The 25,742-nt window shown below is 43.8% G+C and overlaps 1 protein-coding gene, 2 long non-coding RNA genes and 1 pseudogene across 3 annotated transcripts in view, besides 6 other annotated features; 2 read left to right on the forward strand and 2 right to left on the reverse strand.

The window, feature by feature from the left end:
* FOXN3 (forkhead box N3) overlaps positions 1–1,072 on the reverse strand; it is a 462,989-nt gene extending 461,917 nt beyond the window's left edge. The window contains exon 1 of the mRNA NM_001085471.2: positions 935–1,072. The gene's annotated coding sequence lies outside the window, so the exon portion shown is untranslated. The remainder of the gene's footprint in view (positions 1–934) is intronic.
* Positions 468–969: an enhancer, noted in NCBI's record as "H3K27ac hESC enhancer chr14:90084905-90085406 (GRCh37/hg19 assembly coordinates)". NCBI's record gives its function as "activates a minimal SCP1, AML or CMV promoter by ChIP-STARR-seq in primed H9 embryonic stem cells {active_cell/tissue: H9 hESC(primed)}" and the evidence as "EXISTENCE:reporter gene assay evidence [ECO:0000049][PMID:30033119]".
* Positions 468–1,469: a biological region, named in NCBI's record as "H3K27ac hESC enhancers GRCh37_chr14:90084905-90085406 and GRCh37_chr14:90085407-90085906".
* Positions 863–1,242: a silencer, noted in NCBI's record as "silent region_6001". NCBI's record gives its function as "represses an Ori minimal core promoter by ATAC-STARR-seq in GM12878 lymphoblastoid cells {active_cell/tissue: GM12878}" and the evidence as "EXISTENCE:reporter gene assay evidence [ECO:0000049][PMID:35858748]".
* Positions 970–1,469: an enhancer, noted in NCBI's record as "H3K27ac hESC enhancer chr14:90085407-90085906 (GRCh37/hg19 assembly coordinates)". NCBI's record gives its function as "activates a minimal SCP1, AML or CMV promoter by ChIP-STARR-seq in primed H9 embryonic stem cells {active_cell/tissue: H9 hESC(primed)}" and the evidence as "EXISTENCE:reporter gene assay evidence [ECO:0000049][PMID:30033119]".
* LOC105370617 (uncharacterized) lies at positions 1,224–25,521 on the forward strand. Its single transcript, XR_944131.3, has 6 exons — positions 1,224–1,380; positions 9,540–9,675; positions 10,926–11,062; positions 18,025–18,108; positions 18,454–18,518; positions 25,462–25,521. It is a non-coding gene; the product is annotated as an uncharacterized LOC105370617 (long non-coding RNA).
* RN7SKP107 (RN7SK pseudogene 107) lies at positions 3,825–4,062 on the forward strand (annotated as a pseudogene).
* Positions 7,452–8,025: an enhancer, noted in NCBI's record as "H3K4me1 hESC enhancer chr14:90091889-90092462 (GRCh37/hg19 assembly coordinates)". NCBI's record gives its function as "activates a minimal SCP1, AML or CMV promoter by ChIP-STARR-seq in naive H9 embryonic stem cells {active_cell/tissue: H9 hESC(naive)}" and the evidence as "EXISTENCE:reporter gene assay evidence [ECO:0000049][PMID:30033119]".
* Positions 8,697–8,756: an enhancer, noted in NCBI's record as "active region_8869". NCBI's record gives its function as "activates an Ori minimal core promoter by ATAC-STARR-seq in GM12878 lymphoblastoid cells {active_cell/tissue: GM12878}" and the evidence as "EXISTENCE:reporter gene assay evidence [ECO:0000049][PMID:35858748]".
* Positions 10,828–23,988, reverse strand: LOC105370616 (uncharacterized). Its single transcript, NR_188191.1, has 2 exons — positions 23,825–23,988; positions 10,828–11,043 (listed from the first exon to the last, which is right to left on the reverse strand). It is a non-coding gene; the product is annotated as an uncharacterized LOC105370616 (long non-coding RNA).
* Positions 25,522–25,742: the final 221 nt, after the last annotated feature.

A 25,742-nucleotide genomic window follows, 5' to 3' on the forward strand; every position in this document is an offset into this window, starting at 1 on the left:
TGCCTACGACAGCTCCACACGGGAGCTTCCAGCAGACCAGTCCTTTCGGGTGAGGCACATTTTACATTTGCAATCATGTGTCCCAACTGCTAGCAAATGTGTCACCTTAAGCACAGCCTGTGACGGAGGGCTCCCCGAGCCCAACCAATTGAAACTAATAAATTAAATAAATTAATAATCCCACAATTAAAACCTCCGGAGAAAGATTGCATTTCCCTTCCCCAAATGTCATCCCGGGAGTATAAACAAAGCATGAAAAATAGTCTCTTCAGCCTTCCCAGCCGGCAATCATGGTTTTCCCCTCAAAACAATGTTTCTCCAAAAAGAGAAATCTTCTTATTACCCTCAGTGGAAACTCATCTGTAGATGTCATATCAGGATAACCCGTTACAGTATTTGAAAAGAGGCTGAAACTGCCCATAGATTTGACACTGTTTATAATTGATAGCCAAACAGTTGCGACAGCAATGCTGTAAACTCTGCCCAGCCAAACAAACTCCACATTTAACACGTTCCTTCCTTGAAAATAAAAGTAACGCCCGGGGAGCCCACAGAAGTGTGCTTCCCTAAAAGTAATTAACAGAATTGCATCAATTATTTGATTATTTTTATAAATATCCATTTGTCTGCAATTTTTTAAAAAAAATTTTAAAAAGCGACTATCCACACATTCCTAAGAAACTTTTTTTTTTTTTAATGAACTTACTTTTGAGACAAAACTAATGAAAATAAGCAACTTGCCATGGCTGGATCTTTCCCATTTGGGCTGCAAGCTATAAATCAATCTGAAACCAGGTGGAAATAGGGGGGCGGACACCTTTAAAAAAAATCAAAGAGTGCCCCAAAATGCAGCAGCCTGAACACGGAGGGCTTCTCGTGACAATGCTAAACCCGAGCAGATTAGGAGGCAGGAAATGAGCCCCATTTTCGTTACCTTCGATCGCCTGCCCCCCCGCTGCTTCTCGCGGCCGCATTGGGGGGCTGCGGCGACGCTGGACTCGCGGGTGGCCCCGCCGCCGGGTCGCGCCGTCTCCCGGCCGAGCTGCAGCAGATCGCGGCCGGAACCCCGGCTCCTGCGCCCGGCGCCCGCCCGGGGTCGGCGGCGCGGCTCCCACCCCGGCCTGGAGCCCTGCTGGGTCCTAGTGCGCGCCGCGCGCCCGCCTCGCGGCCCGGTCTGCAGCCCGCACCGAGGGCAGGCAGCTCCCAGCGCCGCGAGTCTCCGGGCGAGGCCGCCACCCTCTCGGTCCCTTGCGAAAGCGGCCGCGGGGTGTGCGGATGAACTGGAGCTTAATGTCAAATCCTGGCACAAGATGTTCAAAAGAAAGACATTGGCTCCAACTGAACTCTTAGAAGGCAGATGCTAGGATCTGCAGCCCGAGGGTAAGCGTAGGGGCAGTACCTGGCAGACAGAGGTTTGCCGGGTGCACTGGTGACATTGGCCGTTCACAGACGGTGAGACGCGGTACGGGATCGATAAAGATAGATTTCAAAAATATAACGCTAAAAAGAAAAAAGGTTGAAAATGTGTGTGTTTAAAACAATGTTTTAAACTGTTTTTCCCAATATTTTCCCCCTGTTGACAACAGGCCCTTTTGCATTTCGCCTTCTTTTACTTTATAATATGCTCTTTTAAATAACAAAGCCCCATATGGCTAAACATGTAGTCATTTGATTTTCAAAAGACCTCAAAAATTGCATGAAAATATGCACTCATGTATCTCCTAAGAAATCAACGAGAAAGAATTAATGGAGGCATATGGCGTGCCTCATAGAGAGAACTTAATTACAAATTAAAACAAATGCGAAAATTCACAAATTCAGTAAACTGAAAGTAAATTATGATCCTAGATGTATACACAAATCAGCTCATGTACAATTAGAAAGACTGTAAATTCCAGGTTTCTCTTTCACAAAGGGAAAAGGGTGTTTGTTACATGAACTCATATCAGATTCCCCTCGTTTGCCCCCAAAAGGGCTTTCAGCAACCTCTTGGCACATTCATTTACTGCAGCCCACCTGGAAAGCAACTTTTAATCTTGCAAGTGCTCATTTAAGAGGACAATTCTATTAGCCCTTAATTCAAAATAAAAGTGCTTTAGTTAGAAAAGCCTGTTTGAAAGGCTTCAAGACTGGGAGCTTTTTTTCAGTCTTTGATATCACCAAGTTTGAAGGTCGCAATTCTGTAAAACTGCTAATAACAATGGCACTGTGGTTTACACCATAAGGAAAATCAAATATGTGCTTTCTGATTTCTATTTTTGAAGCAGAAAAAAGTCCCTTTGAAAAGTATTCTTGCCCTCCCCCTTTCCAATTTTAGCTAAACAAGTGTAATGGAAGATTTTTAGTATTAATTAAACATCAAAGGCACCTTCTCTGATGCCTTATATCCACGCCAAGAACTAGTTGTCATATGTTACACTTGTCAATCTTAAATTACTTGCACATACATCTCATGCGATCTTTACCACACCTCTGTGAGAAAGCAGATACAATAATCTGCAATTTTCAGATGAGAAATTGGAGGTCCCAAAAGGTAAAGTGACTTGTTCAAAAATCACATGGCTGGTGAGCAGAGCAGCTGGAATCCCATCCTGTCTCCGCTTTCAACAAGCCCTGTTTTTTGAGTACATCACCTGGCCTCCCAACTATCTCTCTGTAAGTACTGCGGAAAATGAAGCATCCGAAACAAAAACGCAGGTAGGTTTTTTTAGTCATCATTTCTTACCTGTCTCAGAGCAGCAATTTACCAGCAAGCAAATATGAGGCTTGTTGGAAATATGTTAGTCTCTGCTAAAATGAGAAACATGGCTAGGAAGACCCACCCACACTGGTCAGATTTCTGTCCTGGAGCTGCCCAGGGCAACCTGGCCGGCAGAAGACTTCAAACTCTGAGGCTGAGCAATGCCTCATCCCCCATATGTCTTTTTGCTCTTTATCAGAAATTAAGAACTGACTCCACTTGACACATGGAGGAGTAGTGTTTTGTCAAATTGAACCTGGGTTTCTATGAGCAGTCCCGGCACCGAAAGGCCTCAAAAACTCTGTAAATTCATATACAAGGTGGCCTATTAGTGGCATCCAGGGTGTCTCTGTCCAGACCTGGTGACCCCTGGAACTTTGATAGGTCCCTTCTCAGCCCTCCTGCACCTATGGTAAAGTCACCACCCAGTTCTGTGTGTGGCGGTCCCCTTCCTCCTCCTCTCTGCCAAAAGGAAATGTAACTTCTCTGATGACGTGTCCTTAAATATCAGCCAGGTGACGGGCTGGGTGACATTTAACTGAAAAAAAAAAAAAAAACAGAAACATTTCATTCTGAAAAGTGATTCATTCCTTTTCTTGTGCTGTTCACAAGGACGGGGCTAGGCACGGTCGTATCATTGGAAAATGCGTATGACCTTCCTGGAAGGATTAATGCAAAACTTACTTGATAAATTCATTTGATCCCTTTGTTGAAAACTGGTCTAATTACTTCATAGTCACACCATCCATGTGCCTGGCAAATGTTGCAAATGCTAGGCTCAAAACAATCTTAGCCCCAGTAGCAAATGATGAGAAGCTGGGAAGAAATGCTGGTGGTGAGCTCAGTTCACCTCTAGCTCAAAGTTAGAGCACACCAGAAAGGTACTGGTCAGGAGAAACTGTCGTTCATTCATTCATTCATCCATTCGTCCAATTGTGTATGTAGCAAATGTCGAGCAAGGTACTGTTCTAGGCTCTGGGTAGAAAAAATAAAGTTTTCAAGCACTCCTATCGTATGGAGCCCACAGACAGGCAAACAATTGCAGTGCAGTGGTATCAGTGGAGCAGTAAAATCATGACACTGGGGATATGAGGGCAATCTGGCTGCGACATCTGTCATCCCATTGATCTCCAGGGTTGATTCAGCTGATCTGGCTGGCTAGGCAGGTGTCCCCTTTCTCCTTCACCGCTCCATCTGCGTCCCTCCTGAAGCTGCGCACTCCATCGAAGAGGACGACTGTCCCTGATAGAGGAGGACTGGTCTTTGGTCAAGGGTGTATGAATAGCTGCGCTCCCCTGCTAGAACCTCCAAACAAGTGCTCAGATCACTGGTGCTCTATATTCAAACACCAACTGCCCTGATAATGGGCCAGTTGTCTTCTAAGCCATTCCAGGCCTGCCCTTTGCTCTGTATTGCTAGGAGCTGTCTCTGGCAGGCTGAGTTTCACAGACGCTTGGGTCAGTTAGTTGGTGGCTAGATGTGGCCAATGAGGGTCACTGGAGGAGTGGAGGATGAAAAGAAGATAGAAGCCAGAGAACGTCATCATGTCTCTCCTGCCTCTGATGGCATCTCTAGCAGTGGCTGCATCTGGCTGAGGCTTCTCTCAGGTGACTGTAGGCCCTGGGCTCAGGTAACACTGCCACTTCCTGTTAACTGTCCAGCGTGAGGACGTTCTTGGCTCTCTGCTGGGGTTAGTTTCTGGGTGACTTCACTGAGATGCACATGAGAGTGGGGAGAAGAAAGTCCCCACTGGAGAGGACATCCTAGGCACTGGGCAAAGGTGTCGGGGGATGAAAATGCGAGGCGGGCCAGTGCACTGCCTGGGGAGCAACGAGGCTAAAGTGAAGGCTTCGGTTGAGGGGGCGTCTGCAGATCCTGCTGGAGATGCCAGCAGGATCCAGAGTCCACTGGGGTTTGAACTTGATTGTGATTTCTACTTGGGAAACCCCTTTATCTCCCATTAGCCTTTGCTTAAATGTTCCCTTCCCAATGTCTCTTACTCCTCCTCATCCTGCTTTTTCCCTTCTTCCCTTTCCCCTTTCTAATACATTACTATTTACTTATCATTTTTGTTATTCATTATCTGTTCCACCACACACACACACACACACACACACACACACACACACACACATACACACACACTGAATAAAGTTCTACAGGGCCAGGAATCTTTGCTCTATTCAATGATAATTTACAAGAACATAAAACAGTGACTGGTACATAGTAGGTGCTCAATAAATTTTTTTAATGAATGAATAAAGTTAATAAATAAAAAGTTATTTGTAGTAGTCAGAGTTCTCCAGAAAAACAGAACCAGTAGGCTGTATTTATTATAGAGAGAGAGAAAAAAAAAGGGGATTGATTATAAGGATTTGGGTCATGTGATTAAGGAGGCTGACAAGTCCCCAGATTTGCACCCAGCAAGCTGTAGGCCAAGGAGAACCAATGGTGTAGTTCCAGTCTGAAGGCCAGCAAGCTCCAAACCCAGGAAGAGCTGATATTTCAGTTGAGTTTGAAGGCAGGAAAAAAAGCAATGTCCCAGCTCGAGGCAGTCAGGCAGGAGGAGGTGGTCCCTCTTACTAGAGGGAGGGCCAGCCTTTTGTTCTAGTTGGGCCTTCAGCTGATTGAATGAGGCCCACCCACATTAGGGTGGGTGTCTGCTTTCTTCGTCTACCTATTCAAATGTTAATTTATTATTATTTTTTTTTTTTTGAGACAGCCTTGCTCTGTCACCCAGGCTGGAGTGCAGTGGCGTGATCTTGGCTCACTGCAACCTCTGCCTCCCAGGTTTAAGCGATTCTCTTGCCTCAGCCTCCCAAGTAGCTGGGATTACAGATGTGTGCCCTCATGCCCGGCTTATTTTTGTATTTTTAGTGGAGATGGGGTTACGCCATGTTGGCTAGGCTGGTCTCAAACTCCTGGCCACTTCGGCCTCCTGAAGTGCTGGGATTATAGACCTGAGCCACTGCACCTGGCCTCAAATGTTACTCTTATCTGAAAAACACCCTCACAGACACACCCAGAATAATGGTTACCCAAATATGTGGACACCCCATGGCCCAGTCAAGCTGACACATAAAATTAACCATCACATTGTAAAAGACTGTGTTTTACCAGGATAATTCTAGAAAGTGTATGGAGGATGATTTCGATCCAAAATGTTGTAGATATCAGAAGGCAGGGTGACTTATTAGGAGGTAATTATTATCCTAGTTCAGATGCAGACCTGAAGGAATTCATCGTTGGTGGCTTCAGATGACCCTTCAGTGATCCATGGGTGATGTGTGATGTTACACACACCAAAGGCACCACACAGACACAACTCTCGGAGGAATCCATCAGAAGTGCAATGCCTAGAAAAGAACACAGTGGATAACTACGGGGGGGTCCTGGCTGCCCCTGCAACAGGCTGAGGACAACAGTGTCTTCTGGCCACTTTAACTACCCAGTTGCAGTAGACACAAAGCGGGGTGGCAACCTGGCTCCTTTTGGGGGGATTTCTCATTCCACGCCATGGTCCTGGTGTTGAGTGGGAACAGCAGGATTGAGCCCAGGGTGGGCACTTGACAGCATGCTGGACACTTGACCCCATGCCAGGACAATTAGGGTCCTCTGAAGTTCCCTAACTGAAGCCAGGGGAAGCGAGGATCCTTCTCTTCACTTGGATTGCCAAGCTTGGGTGCCACCAGTAGCCCCATCCTCGGTTTGCAGGCTCAGAAGATGGATAACTACGCAACTATCAGCCCAAGCACAACGTTAAAACACGATGAAAGCCCAGTATAAACTTTGGATTATCCAAACAAACTTTTTTCCCCTCTATCATCATAAACAGTTTAGAATAGGCTGTATATATCGCCACCGTTTATATACACACAGGGATGCACCGAAATCCTCACTGTACTGGGAAGATCCCCGGAACACTCTCCAGCTTTCTAGATATAGGTGGTATCAGGTTATACTGAAAGAAAGATTTTCCACTTGCTTCTTTGTATGCTTCCAATTGCAATAAAATGCCACCCGTCTTCACCCTATGAAGTCACAAGCCTTAACATTCCCCATGAAACCGATAGCCTCACCCTTTCACTAACGCAGGCTTAGGAGATGGTGAAATCACACGTGACTTGGATGTCATTACTTTTACCCACCATTTTATAAGGGATTTATTGCCTCAGCGGTGACAGCACTAAATCAGTCCTATGAATCTATGCTTGTCAAGAGGAATGGACAAAACTCACTTTGATTCCTTTGTCTCTCTGATATCTATCACATTTATTCCTTCGTTGACCAAACCCGGGCTTGCTTTGGCAATAATGGCTAATGGGCGGCATCTCATCCCCGGCTCCTACAGAGCCAGTCATGGAATGGCCCACAGCTTGTGTTTCTCAGACCCCCTTCTCAGTTCTGGCTCAGGCCCTTTAGGAATCATTTATCCTGGGGCCTGACTACCAAGCAGGGCTGCGAAGAAGGCCTTGAGAGGAAAGCGTGGGGCAGAACGCTGCCAAAAAAACAGCCCAATCTGGCTCTCAGCCAACCAGCTGGCTGCTGCGGGAAGGCCTCTCCCAGCCTCTCCAGACCCCCCTTTGTCTCCCTCGGCCTCCCTTTCTCAGCTGTCTCGCCTCAGGTAATCATCCACACTCTGCACTTCCCCAGCTCTTTTTATTCCCGCATTTCAGATCACTTTACACACGTTAATTAAGCCTTAAACCACTCAGGAAAGAAAAGCAAAAGGCGCGTGGGGATGTTTGCACTGCGCCCCTCCCAGCTGCTCTGGCCCCGGAGCAGGCCAGCCGCGAGCCGCCCCACTCCCAGCCCGGGAGGAAGGAGAGCCGCAGAGGCTGCTGGAGACCGGGAGGGCTTCTCCTGCGACACGCAGGGTAGGGGTGTCGAGGGTGGAAACTGACTCCACACATCACAGAACACCCCGTGTCATTGAGAGGCGCATGTCATTGTTACGGGACAACCTCCCACATATGGTCACCCGCTACAGTTGATCCAGATGACCTTTGGAAGGTGGGTCCTGGGCAAGACTGCTGGTGGAAAGAGGCGGTCTCTGCATCACACCTGGATTAGGTGCACTTCAGTCTGTGCCATTGTGGTCGTGATCGTGGGTTTTTGAATCAGAGATGTCTTAGTTCACATCTGGGCTCTGTTGTCTCCCAGCTCAGCTGTCTTCCACATATTGCCTGATATCCCAGGCCCCACGGTCTTATCTGCAAAGTGCATGTGATAGTATCCACTACCCTCCCCCAACCTGGATTTTTGTGGAGGATGAAATTAGATCATGCATGCAAAGTATTGGCACGCCAAGTGGTAGATGTTAGAGCTTGTTTGAGCCATCTTTATGTTTAGTCCCAGCCAGTCTGAATTAATGTAGTTCTGCTATGGCTGCTTGGACCCTCTAGCTCAAATTGGTGCTAAAGTCTCTCATTCACAAGAAATGGTGGGGAACTCCAGATGAAGTCTGTAGTTTAGTTAATCATCTGTATCAGTGGTAATTTTTTAGTTTTGGTAAATGTGTCATGGTTATTTGAGTACTAACATTACAGGAAGTTGGGTGAGTGGTGTGAACTCTTCTGTTTTTGCAACAAATGCTCATCTAATGATAACAATAATCTTATGAAAATACATCAAAATTCGTAATGGCTACACAGCGGGTGTCATACTTCACCTGATATGGTTAGGTTTTGTGTCCCCACCCAAATCTCATCTTGAATTGTAATCCCCATAATCCCCACAATCCCCACGTGTGAAGGGAGAGACCTCAAGATTCAAGGTAATTGAATCATGAGGGCAGTTTACCCCATGCTGTTCTCGTCCTAGTGAGTGAGTTCTCACAAGATTTGATGGTTTTATAAGGGGTTCTTCCGCTTTTACTCGACACTTCTCCTTCCTGCCACCTTGTAAAAAAAGGTGCCTTGCTTCCTCTTTGCCTTCTGCCATGACTGTAAGTTTCCTGTAGGCCTCCCTAACCATGCTGAACTGTGAGTCAGTCAAACCTCTTTCCTTTATAAATTACCCACTTTCAGGCAATTCTTTATAGCAGTATGAAAATGGACTAATAGATTACCTATATTTTTAGTGTACTATATTAAGATACCTCCATAGTGACCAAAAACATGCCAAGTCTTCGTTACCAAAATAAGAGGCAATTTATGTTATCTCTAGCTGTTATCACCACCAAGAAAAATCCCTTGGGTTTTCAGTGCCTACAAGGTACCGTATTGAACCTTAAAATAGCAAATGTTACTATCCGGTAAAACCACTACCTATGTGGCAGTCATTTTAAAGTAGGTTTGGATGTAAGATACTTGATAACCTTACCGTATAAGCCCCCAGTGCTTCCCTTATTTCACAGAAAATGAATGGCTTGCCAGTCAATCAGCTCCAAGCTTTCCCTTTTGGTGGGTGGTGACTAGGAAGAGCAATCTTGTCAAATAACACTGTAGATTATATCCGCTTGCCACTCTGAGTAGTTTTTGAGAGGTTCATCTTAAAATGCTGAGGATATCTTTTCTTTCCCTAACTTAATAAGGAGCAGATAATTTAAATCCTTTTATGTTCTCATTTTTTAATACCATGCAAATTGTACTCGCAGGGGGTCAGAAGGAGATCTTTCTTCCTTTCTTCCTTTCTTTCTTTCGACAGGGTCTTGCCCTGTTGCTCTGAGGCTGGAGAACAGTGGCTTGGTCATAGCTCACTGCCACCTCGAATTCCCCAGGCTCAAGCAGTTCTCCTGCCTAAGCCTCCAGAGTAGCTAGGACTGCTGGTGTGTGCTAATTTTTCTCATTTTTTGTAGACACGGGGTCTTGCTATATTGCACACACTGGTTTCCTGGACTTAAACAATCCTCCGGCCTCAGCCTCTCAAAGTGCTGGGATTACAAGCATGAACCACCACACCCAGCCCAGAAGGAGATTTTCATTGAGTGAATGGTGAGTTTTATGAAGAGCCTCGACATCCCTCCCATCAAAGCATGTGAATAGAATATGGCTACATTAAGTGGATTCTGTGAGAGTCACAGCTTTAAAAAGCAAACCGTCTGTCTTGTCAAGTTGCTCAGCTCTCCAGGTGATTGGCAATCTGTGAGGTGTGACTCCTGAATGTAGAGGAGCTACACCTGGACATTTGATTGTGCCTGTTGGCAGAGCGTTCATAATCAAAAGTTGGGTTCGCATCTGCTACCCGCAGGGCATTAATGGATCTAGGTTAGGGCATAGCCCCAGTTCTGAAGTATGAGAATGACATTTGTCACTCTTTTTAGTTGCCCAGGATGTGACCCCTTCCTGTGCCCGCGGAATCCCCAATCTCTGGAGGCAAAGCCACCCCCGCTAAAACTGGAAATGGCACAGACCACATGCCCACCCTTTCTTGCAGTTGAGAGTACAAGGGGCATAACCTAGGTTCCCCCAGCAGCTGGGGATAGGAGGGAGTGGGGTAGTGCTTCATCCAGCAGCTGTAGGAGTGGCAACAGCCTCTGTGGCAGAGCACAACAGCATTGGTGTCCATAGCAGGGCCATCACCTGCCCTATCTGCTGCACGAATTTAATTTAGGCCTTGATCCAGGCTGCATCCTCTTGGAGCTGATCCTCTAGCTCTCTTAAGGACCCTTGTGAGCCACCGACCATCCTGTAAATAAATGCCCTTCCTGCCCAGATCAGCCATGCTCAGCTTCTGTTGACTGACGCAGGAGTCTCCTCTCAGAGTCTCTATCATGGATACCAGTTGCACCAACAAGCCATTATTCTTCCAGTGGTGGCATGGTGTTCCTGCTGATCCCTGACTGGTCAGACTCCTCCTGTCATGACAACATACACTTAGGGATGGGGCATCTGCAGCCATGGAATGAGATTTCACTAGTTACCTGGGTTGTTGGTGCTAAGTGAATCAACCAGAAATGTAAGCAAATTTAATCTCAAGTACTTTTCTGCATGGGCAAGATGGGGCACGTGTTGATACTTATTTCTGGTAACACTGGTAGGAGTCTTTCCTATGAAAGTGTAATACAGAGAACGTAATACACTAGAGTTTGGGCCAAAAGAAAGAGACGACAATGACAACAATAATAACAACAAAACCCTCCGTAGTTACAGGGAAAACTTTTTTTGCTATTTTTTAATGGAAAAGGAACAGTTTCAATATTCAGTTTATCTTCTTTATCCAGCCTCTTCTTTTTGTGTTGTAGAAATTCCACAGTGAACACTTATACTTCATCCGTTGACTCTAGATGACACTGAACCTCACGATAGGAAACTTTCAGTGTGAGATGGATCATCTCGTTTCAAAGAGCAAAGAACTGATCCCTGAAAAGATTGAGAGAAGGTGAGCTTCCATTGATAAAAACCAGGAATACAGGTTTTTCATATTCTCCCAGCAAGTTAAATGTGGAAGTAGAATAATTTCTTCCAAAACAAGGAGACAAAGATATTGTTAATCCTTTCAATTGCATTACTTTTAGCAGCCGTAAAAATAAGCCCAGCAACAAATACTCAGGGTCTTAAATGAAAGCAGAGTAGATTTAAGAGAATTGGAGCGGAGGGCACAATGAAAGGCCCTTTGCCTTTCATTTTGAATTTTTTGTGTAGTCAGTTGTCCAGCGACTGTGACTCCATGAGGGAGGGTGGTCATCCCTGCACAGCTGCAAAGGGTAGGGGCCGTGATTTCCACCTCTTTTCCTCCCACGTCTCTGTCAATCTGGCTTCCACTGAAATCACTTTCACTAATGCACTAATAAATCCCCAACGGCTTAATCTACCTATCTAGGCTGTGTCACACTGCTACTTTCATTTTCTTGCAACTCTTGCCTTTACTGAGCTCTACATTCTTCCTGTTTTCCTTCTCCCTTTCTGACCAGTCCTTCTCCATCTCTCCCACTGGCTCGTCCTCCTCCCCCGCACCACCCCCGCAACTAAGGCCGCAGTTCTCTCATGGGTTCTTTTCTCTTCCATTCCACATGCTTTTTCTTGGTGATCACGTCCATTTTCATGCCTTTTGACAATCACCAGTAACCAATGACCAGCACGCACATATTTCCTGAATTTCAAATCCCTGTCTCTAATAAGCTCCTGGAGCCCTCCACCTGAATATTTTGCTGTCACCTCAAATTCAAATTCAATGTCTCAATCTGGATTATTATCATTTTGCTCCAAACCTCCACTTTTTTTTTGTTTTTTTTTTTTTTCTTAGACAGGGTCTTGCTCTGTTCCCCAGGCTGGACTGCAGTGGCATGATCATGGCTCACCGCAGCCTTTACCTCCTGGGCTCAGGTGATCCTCCTACCTCAGCCTCCTGAGTAGCTGGGTATGTACAGGCACACACCACGATGCTCAGCTAATTTTTTTGTAATTTTTGTAGAGATGGGATTTCTCCACATTGCCCAGCCTGGCCTGGAACACCTGGTCTCAAGTGATCTGCCCTCCTTGGCCTCCCAAAGCGCTGGGATTACAGACGTGAGTCACTGCATCCAACCAGACATTCACTTCTTACATTCCTATATTTACTGCCCAGAAAGCTCAAAATTATCCTCAACACGCCCCTCCCTCCTGTTCCACCCTCATTCACCAAATTCTACAGATTCTGCCTTAGAAATTAATCATAAACTTGGCCCTCCTCTCCATCCCTCTGGCCTTTGCCTCGGTGAAGCCCCCTTCCCCTCTCTATGGCCACGGTCCCCCACACATCCCCACACTGCTTCCCAGTTGTCTTGCACCAGATGACACAGAGTGCTTGGGCAGCCAAGGGAGGAGAGCTCAAGCAGACCTAGGAGACCAAGCAGATGGAAGCCAGCAAAGGAACAAAGGTTATCCATGGGGTCAGGACCCTGGGGGATCCTGAGGCTTGAATGGAAGCTATAGTTTTGCAATTGCAGCAAGTCCTGCCTCCAGCAGTGACCAAGCTGATCCCTAACTCCTCTGAGGATTTGCACGTGGCTGCCTACCTCCACTCCTTCCTACTCCCAGGGTAGGAAGGAAGCTGCCCATGGCCATAGAACTCATTACCCTAAAATACCACCTCAATTCCATCGCTTCCCAGTCCCCAGTCTTTGGTGACTCCCCATCATCCACAGAATCCAGAGTACACTTTCCATTTCCCGCCGAGTGCTCCAGGACCCCATAATTGCTCACGTAGCTTTGCTGTTGAGTGTGTCAATTACTCACCTAAATTAGTCATTCCCCCTCTCACACTTAACTATTGACTGTGATTTTCCAACCTCTGGAATTTGCCTATGGCTTTTCTCCTCCTAGAACCCTGTCCTATAAGTCCTCAAACCTATTTGTTTAGGTCTTATGTGGTTTTTCACTTGTTAAGCCAACACATATTTAGAACCAACTAGGGGCCACGCCAATTCCAGCAAAAAAGACTAGAGCTCTCCCCTCAAAGAGCACTTAGTCCACTGGGAAAGGTGGACAAGGAAAAGGAATTTGCATTACAATGTGATAAATTCCACAGTGATGTTGCCATATGATGTCCTGGGAAAACCTTTCTGGGAATCTCTCAAATCTCATCACCATAGAGATGTTCACATTAACTTACAGAGAAACCATTTCCTGTCTTCTGAACGCCAGGGCTATGATTCTCAACTTTGTTGTACAAAGATTCATCTGGGGCCTGTAGTCCCAGCTACTCAGGAGGCTGAGGCAGGAGAATGGCATGAACCCAGGAGGCAGAGCTTGCAGTGAGCCGAGATCGCACCACTGCGCTCCAGCCTGGGCGACAGAGCGAGACTCCGTCTGGAAAAAAAAAAAAAGATTCATCTGGGGAGCTTTTTTTTAATACACATTTTCCAAAGTCTCACTTTCAGAAATTCTGAGTCAGTAGACCTGAGATTCGGCCTAGGAATAAACATTTTTAATAAACCCCTCAGTGATTTTAATATAGGTGAGGCCACAGGTCACACTTAGAATAACATTGCTAATGCGTTTATTGTTTTTGCAACTCACATACCATACCAGATACTTTCTTGTAGTCTACACACTTACATGAATGGCTTATCTAGTTTGCTAAATAATAGATCTTTAAAAGCAGAATATTTTACTTATACATCTTTTTTTCATTTTGTTTTGTTTTGAGACAGGGTCTTGCTCTGTTGTCCAAGCTAGAGTTTCGTGGCATGATTGTGGCTCACTGCAGTCTTGAACTCCTGGGCCCAAGCAATCTTCCCACCATAGCCTCCCAAGTAGCTGGGACTACAGGCATGTGCCACCACACCTGGCTAATTTTTTTTTTTTTTTTTAGTAGAGACAAGATCTCACTATGTTGCCCAGGCTTATCTTGAACTCCTGGGCTCAGGTGATCCTCTCGCCTTAGCCTCCCAAAGTGTGGGGGTTACAGATGTGAGCCACTGCGCCAAGCCTTCTTATACATCTTTATACTCCTTCAGGTCATAAGAATAGTACATGAGTAATTGTATATCTTTGGTGCTTCATAAGTCTTTAACAATTTTAGTATAGTCATATTTTGTATTTAACTTTTTATAACTATATATTTATTTCATAATTTGAAATATTTTTTTAAAAGATTGATGTGAGGACATGTTGCTGCTGAAAGGCTGAGAGGTGCTAGTGACAAGGTGGGGATGGGAGGTGCTGCTGCACCCCAGGGGCCCACACTCTCAGGTGGGGGCAATGCAAACAGGGCGCCTGCTGCACAGACCAGCTCAGGGAGGTTCAGGATGCACTAACATGATGCTGAGAGAATGTCTTAGAAAGGTGCCATTGGGCCTTCACAGGTGGTGTTCTTTTTACTTTTATTAATTTTTGTAGCGACAGGGTCTCACTATGTTGCCCAGGCTGGTCTTGAACTCCTGGGCTGTAGCCATCCTCCTGCCTCGGCCTCCCAAAGCACTGGGATTACAGGTGTGAGTCACCACGCCCAACCCAGAGGCCGTGTTCTTTAAAGTCAAATCTGAGGCTGGGCATGGTGGCTTGCACCTGTAATCCCAGCAGTTTTGGAGGCCGAGGCGGGTGGCTAACTTGAGGCCAGAAGACCAGCCTGGCCATCATGGCAAGACCCTGTCTCTACTAAAAATGCAAAAATTAGCTGGGCGTGGTGGCGCACACCTGTAATCCCAGCAACTTGGGAGGCTGAGGCACGAGAATCTCTTGAAGCCAGGAGGCAGAGGTTGCAGTGAGCCAAGATTGCACCACTGCACTCCAGCCTGGGTGACAAGAGTGAATGAAATGAAATAGTCAAATCTGATCTCCTACCACATCCCACAATTGTGACAAGCCGTTCTCTCAAACGATGTTTCCAGTGGCATTTTCAAGAAAATGCAGAGGGAAGCCCATGAAGCCCAAGACTCCCGCCCAGCTGGAGGCTGCCTGCCTTTGCTTGTAACCTCCATCAGGGCACCGTGCCTGACCATACCTGCCTGCAAAGGCTCTAGGGCTTGCAGGATCTCTGGAACTGCTGAACTGAGATGTGGGTCTCAACCATGTGGGTTTGGTTCTGCCTTCTCCACGCTCGGACTAGATCTCTTTCTAGATGCAAACCTAACTTCCCCTGTGATGCCACGTGCGCTGGGCCAGGGCTTGTTGCAAACCCCACAGTTGTGTTTCCTGGACCACCCGCTCAGCAGCATCCCAGACAGTGAACCAGAGCCCTAATTGGGCCTGGAAATCACTGGAAGAGAAATAAAAGAGGATTAAGCTGGGATTACTCTTCTTTCTTATTTACCACTCCCTGAGAGCTCTTCTTCCCCAGCCTCTCCAGCTGGCCTCTCTTCACAACTGAAACTACCAACCCCCTCTGCCCCCCATCATATAGCATTAGCCCTACTCCAATCTTTCTAGAAAGTTCTTGTTCTGGAGTCCAGAACGAATACAGATATTGAATAAGGCATATTTTGGAGCTCAGGACCCAGTAGGATGTAGCCTCGTAGCTGTAGCAAAACAGGAAAGATTGGTTAGAATTGGACCCAGAACTAGACCAGGATGGAGCCCAACTAGTCCCAGGTGCTGTTATGGCATCTACTGCGGTAGTGCCATCATTGGGCATACTCACATGCCTTAGTCCATGCTCAGGGACAAATGGAGCAAAGCAACTGGGACCTAGAGATACAGTCAAATAGAATTAAGCTAGTCCATTGGTGGATAAAGGGTTCCTAGCCCCTGGGCTGAGTTTGAGGACCTTTTCTTAGCGGGAACTGCACTGCCAGGTAATTTAGCAGAATAGGGAAGCAATGCAAGAATCCAGCTACCAGATCTGTGGGTCAAGGAACATACTATGACTTCTGAGCAAAACTAGTTTTGATATTTGAACAAAACTAGAGGGAAGAAGGCTGAGGCTTGGAGATACTCTTCAGGAATTCTGCCTGCCTGTGATTCTCCTTATAGAATTCAGAGGAATAAACAATGCCCCACCCAGGACTGACATAGAATGCAGAGAGGGTAACCCAGGCAGCCCCAGGTACTCGCCTGGGTCCAAAGGCCAACCTTGGCCTTCAACACTGCAACATTTCTTTACTATACAAGTGGTATCCTTCATACTCACATGTCATGGTTTATGCTATCTAAAAATTAGAATTGACCTGTAGTCCCAGCTACTGGGGAGGCTGAGGTGGGAGGATCCCTTGAGCCCAGGAAGTCAGGGCTGCAGTGAATCATGATCATGGCCCCACACTCCAGCTTGTGCAACAGAGTGAGACCCCCATCTCAAATAAATAAATAGGCCAGGTGTGGTGGCTCACGCCTGCAATCCCAGCACTTTGGGAGGCTGAGGTGGGTGGATCACAAGGTCAGGAGTTCGAGACCAGCCTGGCCAATATGGTGAAACCCCCGTCTCTACTAAAAATACAAAAAATTAGCCAGGCGTGGTGGTGGGTGCCTGTAATCTCAGCTACTCGGGAGGCTGAGGCAGGAGAATCGCTTGAACCCAGGAGGCAGAGGTTGCAGTGAGCCGAGATCGCACCACTGCACTCCAGCCTAGGCAACAGAGCGAGACTCTGTCTCAATAAATAAATAAATAAATAAAATCAGATTTGATCACCATGTGTGCCTCTTCAGAATATCTGCTAAGCAAAGTGGGGAAACAGGATTAGAAACCAAGTTAGTATCTTTCCTTTTTATGGGAACTTAGTGGAAGCGAGAATCTTCAGACGTTCCATCTAGTTTAACCTACTGATATAAGCTGGGACTCTGTAAAGTCCATGATTTTAATTTCTAGAAAAGAATCCCAGGGGCAGATCTATTGATATTGCCAAGGAAAATTTTAAAAATGAAACGCTTATCACTTCTTGGTAGATATTTGTGAAAACCTCATGATATACTTTATATTTTTTATTGGCAAGAGGTCATATAGGCTAGATCATGTGGTGGAATTTGCTTTTGTTAACATCAAGGGAGGAATGCTAGCTAATTTGTTTGGATGGATGTGTTCTAACATTGCTCTAAAAATTATTGCTGGGCATACTGGGATCATACTAGGATCTCTGTCACCAGAAAAGCCCAGCCTCACTGTCCTTGGTGGCTGACTCTGTGGTCATGGGGCTCACAGATGCAGAAAGGCACACCTACCTACTTTCCCACTGTCCATTTTTGCTCACTCTATTTTTTTTTTTTTTTTATAGACAGAGTCTTGCTCTGTTGCCCAGGCTGGAGTGCAGTGGCGTGATCGCGACTCAATGCAACCTCCACCTCCTGGGTTCAAGCCATTCTCCTGCCTCAGACTCCGAGTAGCTGGGACTACAGGCGCCCGCCACCACGCCCAGCTAATTTTTGTATTTTTAGTAGAGAGGGGGTTTCACCATGTTGGCCAGGATGGTCTCAATCTCTTGACCTCATGATCCGCCCGCCTCGATCTCTTGATCTCATAATCCGCCCTCTGGGATTACAGGTGTGAGCCACCGCGCCTGGCTGCTCACTCTACTTTATAGAAGCTGCTTATTCCCTTCACCCCTTCCCTACTCAATGGCCATAGAGAGTGTCTGGTCATTCCTTTTCCTACTGTATCTTTAAAATTCTATCAATGCGGTTTTTACATTCCATTTTCTTTGAGATGTTTGTTTATGCTGAAGAACTCATACAGGGATTTTTTTTCTCTCTCTGTCTCAGGGGATTAGCATTTTAGTAAGAGCTGAATAATAAAACTAGACTATAAAATCCTGTTTAAATGTTGTGGTGCATGTCTTACTTCTCATAATTGAGTGGGAATTATTAGGATCGAACTTTGTTGTTGTTGTTCCAGAGGGAAAAAACGGGCCAGTTTTCTCTGCCGGGTCACAAGGATGGATGTCGAAGGGGAAATGACCTGTGATATCTTATAAAACATAAACTCTATTTTTCTAGATAGAAAGGAAGATGTAGCACAAAGTGAGATGGAGTATTAATGAGTGGACCACCAGATCTGCTTCGAATGTTTTTCAACTTCTGGTAGGTCTCATACTCTGTTGAAAACTTGAGGCAAACACATATATGCGCAAAGACATACACAACATGGCAGTGATTTCAAGGGAATTGTGGACTCCATGGCCCTCAGATTAAAGAAAATCCTTGTAGGTCCTCAAAATGTTTTCTCTATCCTTTGGGTTCAACTTTAATCCAGAAGTTAGAATAAATGGATGAAATTTAGTTTCCAATCAAGCAATAAATATACACAGTTGACTGTTAAACAACATGGGTTTGAACTGCATGGGTCCACTTTTACATGGATTTTCTTCCATCTTTGCCACCCCTGAGACAACGAGACCAATCTTGCCTCTTCCTCCTCCTCCTCAGGCTACTCAAGGTGAAGACGACAAGGATGAAAACATTTATGGGGATCCACTTCCATTTAACGAATAGTAAATATCTTTTCCCTTCTTTATGATTACAAAATATAACTTACAAAATGTATGTTAATCAACTGTTTATATTATCAATAATTTCAACCCACAGAAAGCTATTAGTAGTTAAGTTTTGGAGGAATCAAAAGTTATATGGAAATTTTTGATTACATGGGGGCCCGTACTCCTAACCTCCGCATTCTTCAAGGGTCAAGTTAATTATGCTTAGTGTTGTGCTAGGTAGGAAAGAACCCAGAAACATTGTAAGAGCTCATCCCTGCCTTCCAGGGCTTTGGGAAGACTGTACAAACTCACATGGGGTATCTTTAAACAAGACAGTATAGAGTTCAGTGCTAAATTGTGTGGTATGGATGAAGAGTGCTACAGGCTCTCAGGAGAGGGGGGTTAATAGTTTAGTCAAAGAAAATTTCATAAAAGGATTTGATTTGTACTTGAAAGAATCTCTGGGGCTTAAACAGAGGGGGATGTGGTAACATTCCATGGAGACAATATAGCTCAGGAGAGAGAATACGGGTTTTGACATGTGGTAAATCTAGGTTTGAATCACCACTCTGTCCCTTTTAGGCTCTATAACTGTGCTAAAGTTATTTAATATCCCTGAATTTTAGATTCTTCATCTGTAAAATGGGCATTTTTAAAGAATGGATGGGAGTAATCAATTAAATAATTCTGTAAAAGTACCTCAGACAGTGCCATGAAGGCAAAAACGTCTCTCTTGTTTGCAAACGCAATCCAAGAGCATTACCCAGGGGCTGACACATAGAAGGTGCTTGACAAATATCTGCAAGAGGGGTTGAATGAATGAGTGAATGAATCAGTGAATCAATGAATAAAAAATATGTTGAGGAATAAGCAATAATGATGAATCTGATGTATGGCAATATGTAATTTCTTCTTTAAAATATATTGTGATAAAATCAAATTCTATCAAGAGAGTAAAAAGATAAGCCATGGACCAGGAGACAATAATCACAAAACACATATCTGTTAAGGGACTGTTGTCCAAAATACACAGAGATCTCTGAAAACTCAATCAGAAGAAAACAACCAGTTAAAGAATGGGGCAAAGACTTTACCATACACCTCATCAAAGAAGATACACAAACGGAAAATAAGCATATGAAAAGATGTTCCACATCATATGTCATCAGGGAAACACAAATTAAAATAACAATAAGATACCACTACACAGCTGTCAGAATGGCCAAAATCCAGAACACTGACAACAGCAAATGCTGGTGAGGATGTGGAGCAACAGAAACCATCATTTATTGCTGGTGGGAATGCAAATGGTGTAGTTATTTTGGAAAATAGTTTGGCAGATTTTTTTTTTTACAAAACTAAACATGCTCTTACCGTATAATCCAGTAATCATGTTCCTTAGTATTTATCCAAAGGAGTTGAAAACTTATGTCCACACAAAAACCTGCACACAAGTGCTTATAGCAACTTTATACATAATTGCCAAAACTTTAGAAGTAACTTAAGATGTCATTCAGTAGGTGAATGGATAAACTATTGTACAATGGAATGATGTGTGGCAATATATAATTTCTTTGTTCAGATATATTGTTATAAAAGCAAATTATATCAACAGAATGAAAAGATAAGCTATAGACCAGGAGAAAATATTTTGTGCATCTAGACAATGCAATATTACTCATTGCTAAAAAGAAATGAGCCATTAGGCCATGAAAACACATGGAGGAAACTTAAATGCCTATTACTAAGTGAAAGAAGCCAATCTAAAAAGACTACATGCTGTATGATTCCAACTATACGACATTCTGGAAGAGGCAAAACTATGGAGATATTAAAAGTTCAGTGGCAGCCAGGCGCAGCGCCTCATGCCTGTAATCCCAGCACTTTGGGAGGCCAAGGCGGGCAGATTGCCTGAGGTCAGGAGTTCAAGACCAGCCTGGCCAACATGGTGAAACCCTGTCTCTACGAAAAGCACAAAAATTAGCTGGGCGTGGTGGCAAGCGCCTGTAGTCCCAGCTACTCAGGAGGCTGAAGCATGAGAATCTCTTGAACCCGGGAGATGGAGGTTGCAGTGAGCCGAGATTGTGCCTCTGCTTGCCAGTCTAGGGGATAGAGCGAGACTCTGTCTCCAAAAAAAAAAAAAGTTAAGTGAGCCACTAGGGGTTAGGCAAAAGAGAGGGACAAATAGGCAGGGCAGAGCACAGAGGATTTTCAGGAAAGTGACACTATTCTGTAAGCTACTATAATGGTGAATATATGTCATTGTACATTTTTCCAAACCCACAGAATGTACAACACTAAGAGTGAACCCTAATGTAAAAACATTTTTATTTAAAAAATCAAATTATAGCTATAGCTATAACTCAAATGCATTCATATTGTGTTCTAGGTTATTCAAGGACAAACTCCCCCGTTTCTGGGTTATCTGGGTTTTTTATAGCTTTATCTCCAGCTCCACAACTCTGATTCTAGTATTATTTCCTGTTGTCTTTCATTTTCAGTTTTCAGCAGTGTAATATGATGTTCCTACATGTGATTTTTCTGTATTTACCATTCGGGGTTCCCTGAACTTCATGAATCTGTGGGTTGATGTTGTTCATCAGTTTTGGAAAACACCGGCCATTGCCCCTCAAATATTACTTCTATCCTATTATCTCTCCTTTCCAAGTATCTCATTGCCTATATGTTAGACCGTTTCACTGTCTCTTATATCTTTTATTTTCTTGTCTATTTTTTCCCTATTCTTCTTTTACCTGTTCATTTTCAATTAACTTGTCTTTCAATCACAAACTTGTCGTCTTCTTCTTCTAAACTGCTATTAAACTCATTTAATGGGTAAGAGCAGATTTTTCCACTCAAAAATTTTCATATTATTCTCTTGTATAGGTTCCATGTCTCTGGTAAAAATACTCATCTTTTTTTTTTCTATTTTCTTGTACATATTAATCATAGTTATTTTAAAGCCCTTGTCTTTTATGCCCCATGTCTGGATTACCTGTAGGTCTGTTTCTATTGCCTATTTTTTCCTCTTAGTTTTCAATCATATGGTACTTCATATGGGGCTTGTAATAGCCATGTCATTTTATGAGACCAATCCTATTAGATAAATCCTTAAGAGAGCTCCAGATATTTATAATAGGTTCATAAGGCAGATGCTTCTTCCCCAAATCACAAAGATATCTATTTATAAACAAATATGTAAAGAGACAAACATCACTATCTGGTTTACACCATTTGGGGTTCTTGAGACTCAGGGATTTCCAGTATTCAATATTCATTCAACAAGTACTTGAGATCCTATTTTGTGTCAGCACCGTTCTAGTGCTGGGGATTTTTGGTGATCAAGGTAAGGTCTCTGTCCACTGGAATTTGCATGTCATTGAGGAAAGACACAAAAAATTAATAAATAGCAAGAAAATGAGCAGATAATCATGAGTGCTGTGCTGATAATTAAAATAGAATGACATGATAAAGAGTAATGTGGTGACTCCTTCACATTGAGTGGTTAGGGAAGGATTATTTCGGGGAAAGTGACTCCAAAGATGATAATTTAATGACAAGAAGGAACCAAGTTATTATTGAAAAAGCATTTAAGGCAGAAGAAAGAACTAGTGCAAGATCCTAAGAGAGGAATGAGTTTGGCACATTCAAGGAAAGGAAAGGAAAGAAGGTCAGAGTTACAGAAGTGAAGAAGTTCAGAGTCAAAGAACTGAGTCAATAGACAGGAATCCTATCATGTAGGGCTTCATATGTCAGAGTAAGGAGTTCAGATTTCTCCTTAACTCTGATAAGAAGCCACGGAAGGAATTTAAGGAGGAGGGGAACAGGATCTGCTTTCTATTTTGAAAAAAGTAGTTTTCAGAAGAGCAAGATTGGAAGCTGAGAAACAAGTTAGGTGCTAATTGTACTGGTCCAGGCGAATAATGGTGAGGGCTTAGATGAGGTTATCCTCATCCAAGCAGTGGAGATGAACACCTAGATTTGGAAATCATTGGCATGTAGATGCTATTTGTAGATGCCTCAGGACTAAATGAGACTCCTGTATTTCTTAGCCAAGTCAAGTATATAGAAACATGATATCCTGGGACTAGAAGAGACATTAAAGATCCTTTAGGCCAGCCGGGCCCCATGGCTCACACCTGTAATGCCAGCACTTTGGGAGGCTGAGGCAGGTGGATCATGAGGTCAGGAGTTCAAGACCAGCTGGACCAATATGGTGAAACCCTTTCTCTACCAAAAATACAAAAATTAGCCGGGTATGGTAGCGTTCACCTGTAATCCCAGCTACTCAGGAGGCTGAGGCAGGATAATTGCTTGAACCCGGGAGGCGGAGGTTGCGGTGAGCCAAGATCTCACCACTGCACTCCAGCCTGGGCGACAGAGTGAGACACTCCATCCGAAAAAAAAAGATTGTTTAGGCCAATCCCATTGTTTTATAAGTAGGGAAACTGAGGCCTAGTCAGGTTAAGTGCTTTCTTCATAGTCATATAGTTCATCAGAATCTAGGATTTCCTTACTTATTTCAGTGCATTTTCATTACCTTCGGCCTCTGAAAGAGTTGAGAGAGTACAACTTAGCTTCAAAGTTATGGTAAATATTTGTTGAAAGAAATAATTATACTCTGTGCAATATTGGATTTTAAATGATCAAAAAATTAAAAAAACCACAAATTCATTGCTTAAAAATATTTCACTATCAATCTGAATTCAAATAAAGAAGCAGCTTCGTTGGCAGACTAGTTGGCTCAGTGAAAAATGAATGAGCAGAAATATTTTTATCCAAATTATTGTAGCTGATGCAACCTTCTTTTTAAAAGAGTGTTTTAAATTAAAAGACCAATCATTTCTTCATCATCTAGAGGGGGAAGAAACTTGTAATGTAAAATCCTATTTACTGAGTTGTTGGATAGGATAGTAAAATTCCACAGATCTGGGTTTACACACACACACATATGCACACACATTTACAATTGTATTGCACAGACAGCAAGTGTGAGTCTTGCTTCTACCAACGCAGTACAAAAGGAAGCTGAGAGAGTCAAGGGAAAACCCTGTCCACGTTGTGTTGACACAGTTAGAGTAAAGTGAAAGAGTCAAAGGTTGAAACCGATACTAAGACTACTATCAGATTTCGCAGAAAAGAGCTCTTCTAGGTACTGCAGATAAAATAATACTCCAATAACTGATCGATCATTCCTTTTATGAAAGTACCACTGAGTTGTTTGTGAAACCCTCAGTAGCTTTAAAAGATACTCCAAATATCATATCCCAGATATTGTTCCACCTGTCTTTTCAGAAAAAGAAGCAGAAAAAGAACTGTACCTTTCTCCATTGCCTGTGTCCGGTAAACTCTTGGCAACAACATGATAGACAACCACTAGCACTATTTAACCTCTTTGAGCCTCCATTTCCTGATCAGTAAAATGAAGCAGGTGATCACTTGGGAATCCCCTGGAGTCTTTGAAATCATAATTCTAAGCTTTGTCAAAGCCAAAATCAATAAAAAGAAGAAAATAGGTTCTAAGATAACGCGAGACTAGCTTTATTTTTTTCTGTGCTTGGGCAGAGCTGTGACCAGCCACCTGGAACATCATATTGGATTCTGACTCCCTTTCTTTCTGCCCCAAATTAAAGTACCTTTTCTTTGGTATTTCACTGAATCTTTAAAGTAGTCAATAGTAAACACCATTTTGTAAATAAAGTTGTCTCATCTGGTAACTACAAAATACAAATATATCTTTCAGACACGATTTCAGATGAATTCTTCAATGCAAATGGAAATGACTTTTTTCAATGTATTATTAAGAGATGGTAGATAACTAGCCTAATGCAAAGACTTGATCTAGTGTAAGGTCAGTAGACAAAAGACCACCTGTGAAAACCAAGGGTTGTACCCTTTTAGTACGGGGAACTTTGTCTCCTGTTGGCCTAAAACCAGTTTATGAGGTCTTTGCAGGAGCCGATGCCACACCAATGAATGTCAATAGATGAGTAGAAGAAGTCTTCAGCTTGCTGATTGCCCCACTCAAGACCAAGGCCTCTCTTCCTGCATCTTCCTTCGTTCAGCAAATTCTCTACATTTGGGGAAAAATAAATCACCTCAACATCAATCTTTGATTCCCTCTTTTGCCAATAAATGTTGACCCCATTTAAAGTCAACTCAAGTTTGACACATGTTATGGTAAGGAGCTTCTGTATTTTCCAGGATTTTAGGAATTTGGTGGTAGAACAGAAAACAGTCCTCATATTATTATTAGTTTTTCTTTTAACAACTATAGTTACTTTGTTATTGTACCCCCAGTACCTAGCACAGTGCCTGATAGGTAGTAAGCATACAGTCTTTGTTGAAAGCTGAGCAAATGAATGAATGAACAGACCTCCTTATAGTCTGGTGAGAAACATTATGTGACTTGAAGGTGGAGAGCAGAACTACATTTATAGTTCACTTAAAAATTTCCCCACTGGTTAGTGCTCTTATTATTAAAATAATTCCCTCCCCATCCACAAGGTAGGTTCCAGGAACTCTCCTTCTTTCTCCTATGTTTTGGGGATTTAAAAAATCTTCTTGGCCAGGTGCGGTGGCTCAGGCCTGTAATCCCAGCACTTTGGGAGGCCGAGATGGGCGGATCACATGAGGTCGGGAGTTTGAGACCCGCCTGACCAATATGGAAAAACCCTATCTCTACTAAAAATACAAAATTAGAAGGGCGTGGTGGTGCACACCTGTAATCCCAGCTGCATGGAAGGCTGAGGCAGGAGAATCGCTTGAACCCGGGATGTGGAGGTTGTGGTGAGCTGAGATCATGCCATTGCAACCAGCCTGGGCAACAAGAGCGAAACTACGTCTCAAAAAAAAAAAAAAATCTTCTCATAGTTGGCCCTCCAAAGCTACCACTTTATCTTCCCTTTTCTTTGTCACAGTCCTTCTTTTGACTCTGCTCTTTTCTCTCTACTCACAGCTTTAGACTTGGTACTTCAAACTGTTTGGGACATTCCAGAGCCCACCTTCATCCAAGCAGGTATTTTATGAACATTATCTCATTAATTATTTTCTCCATTTCATAAGTAAATAAAATTAGACTATGAGATGTCCCACAGGAAGTAGAAACGAGTAGGAAATGGCTGTGCAGTGGCTCATGCCTGTAATCTTAGCACTTTGGGAGGCCAAGGTGGGAGTATCTCTTGAGTTCAAGACCAGCCTGGAAAATATAGCTAGGCCCTGTCTCTATAGCAAAACAAA

Source organism: Homo sapiens, chromosome 14 (assembly GCF_000001405.40).
Source record: "Homo sapiens chromosome 14, GRCh38.p14 Primary Assembly".
Lineage (NCBI taxonomy): Eukaryota > Metazoa > Chordata > Mammalia > Primates > Hominidae > Homo > Homo sapiens.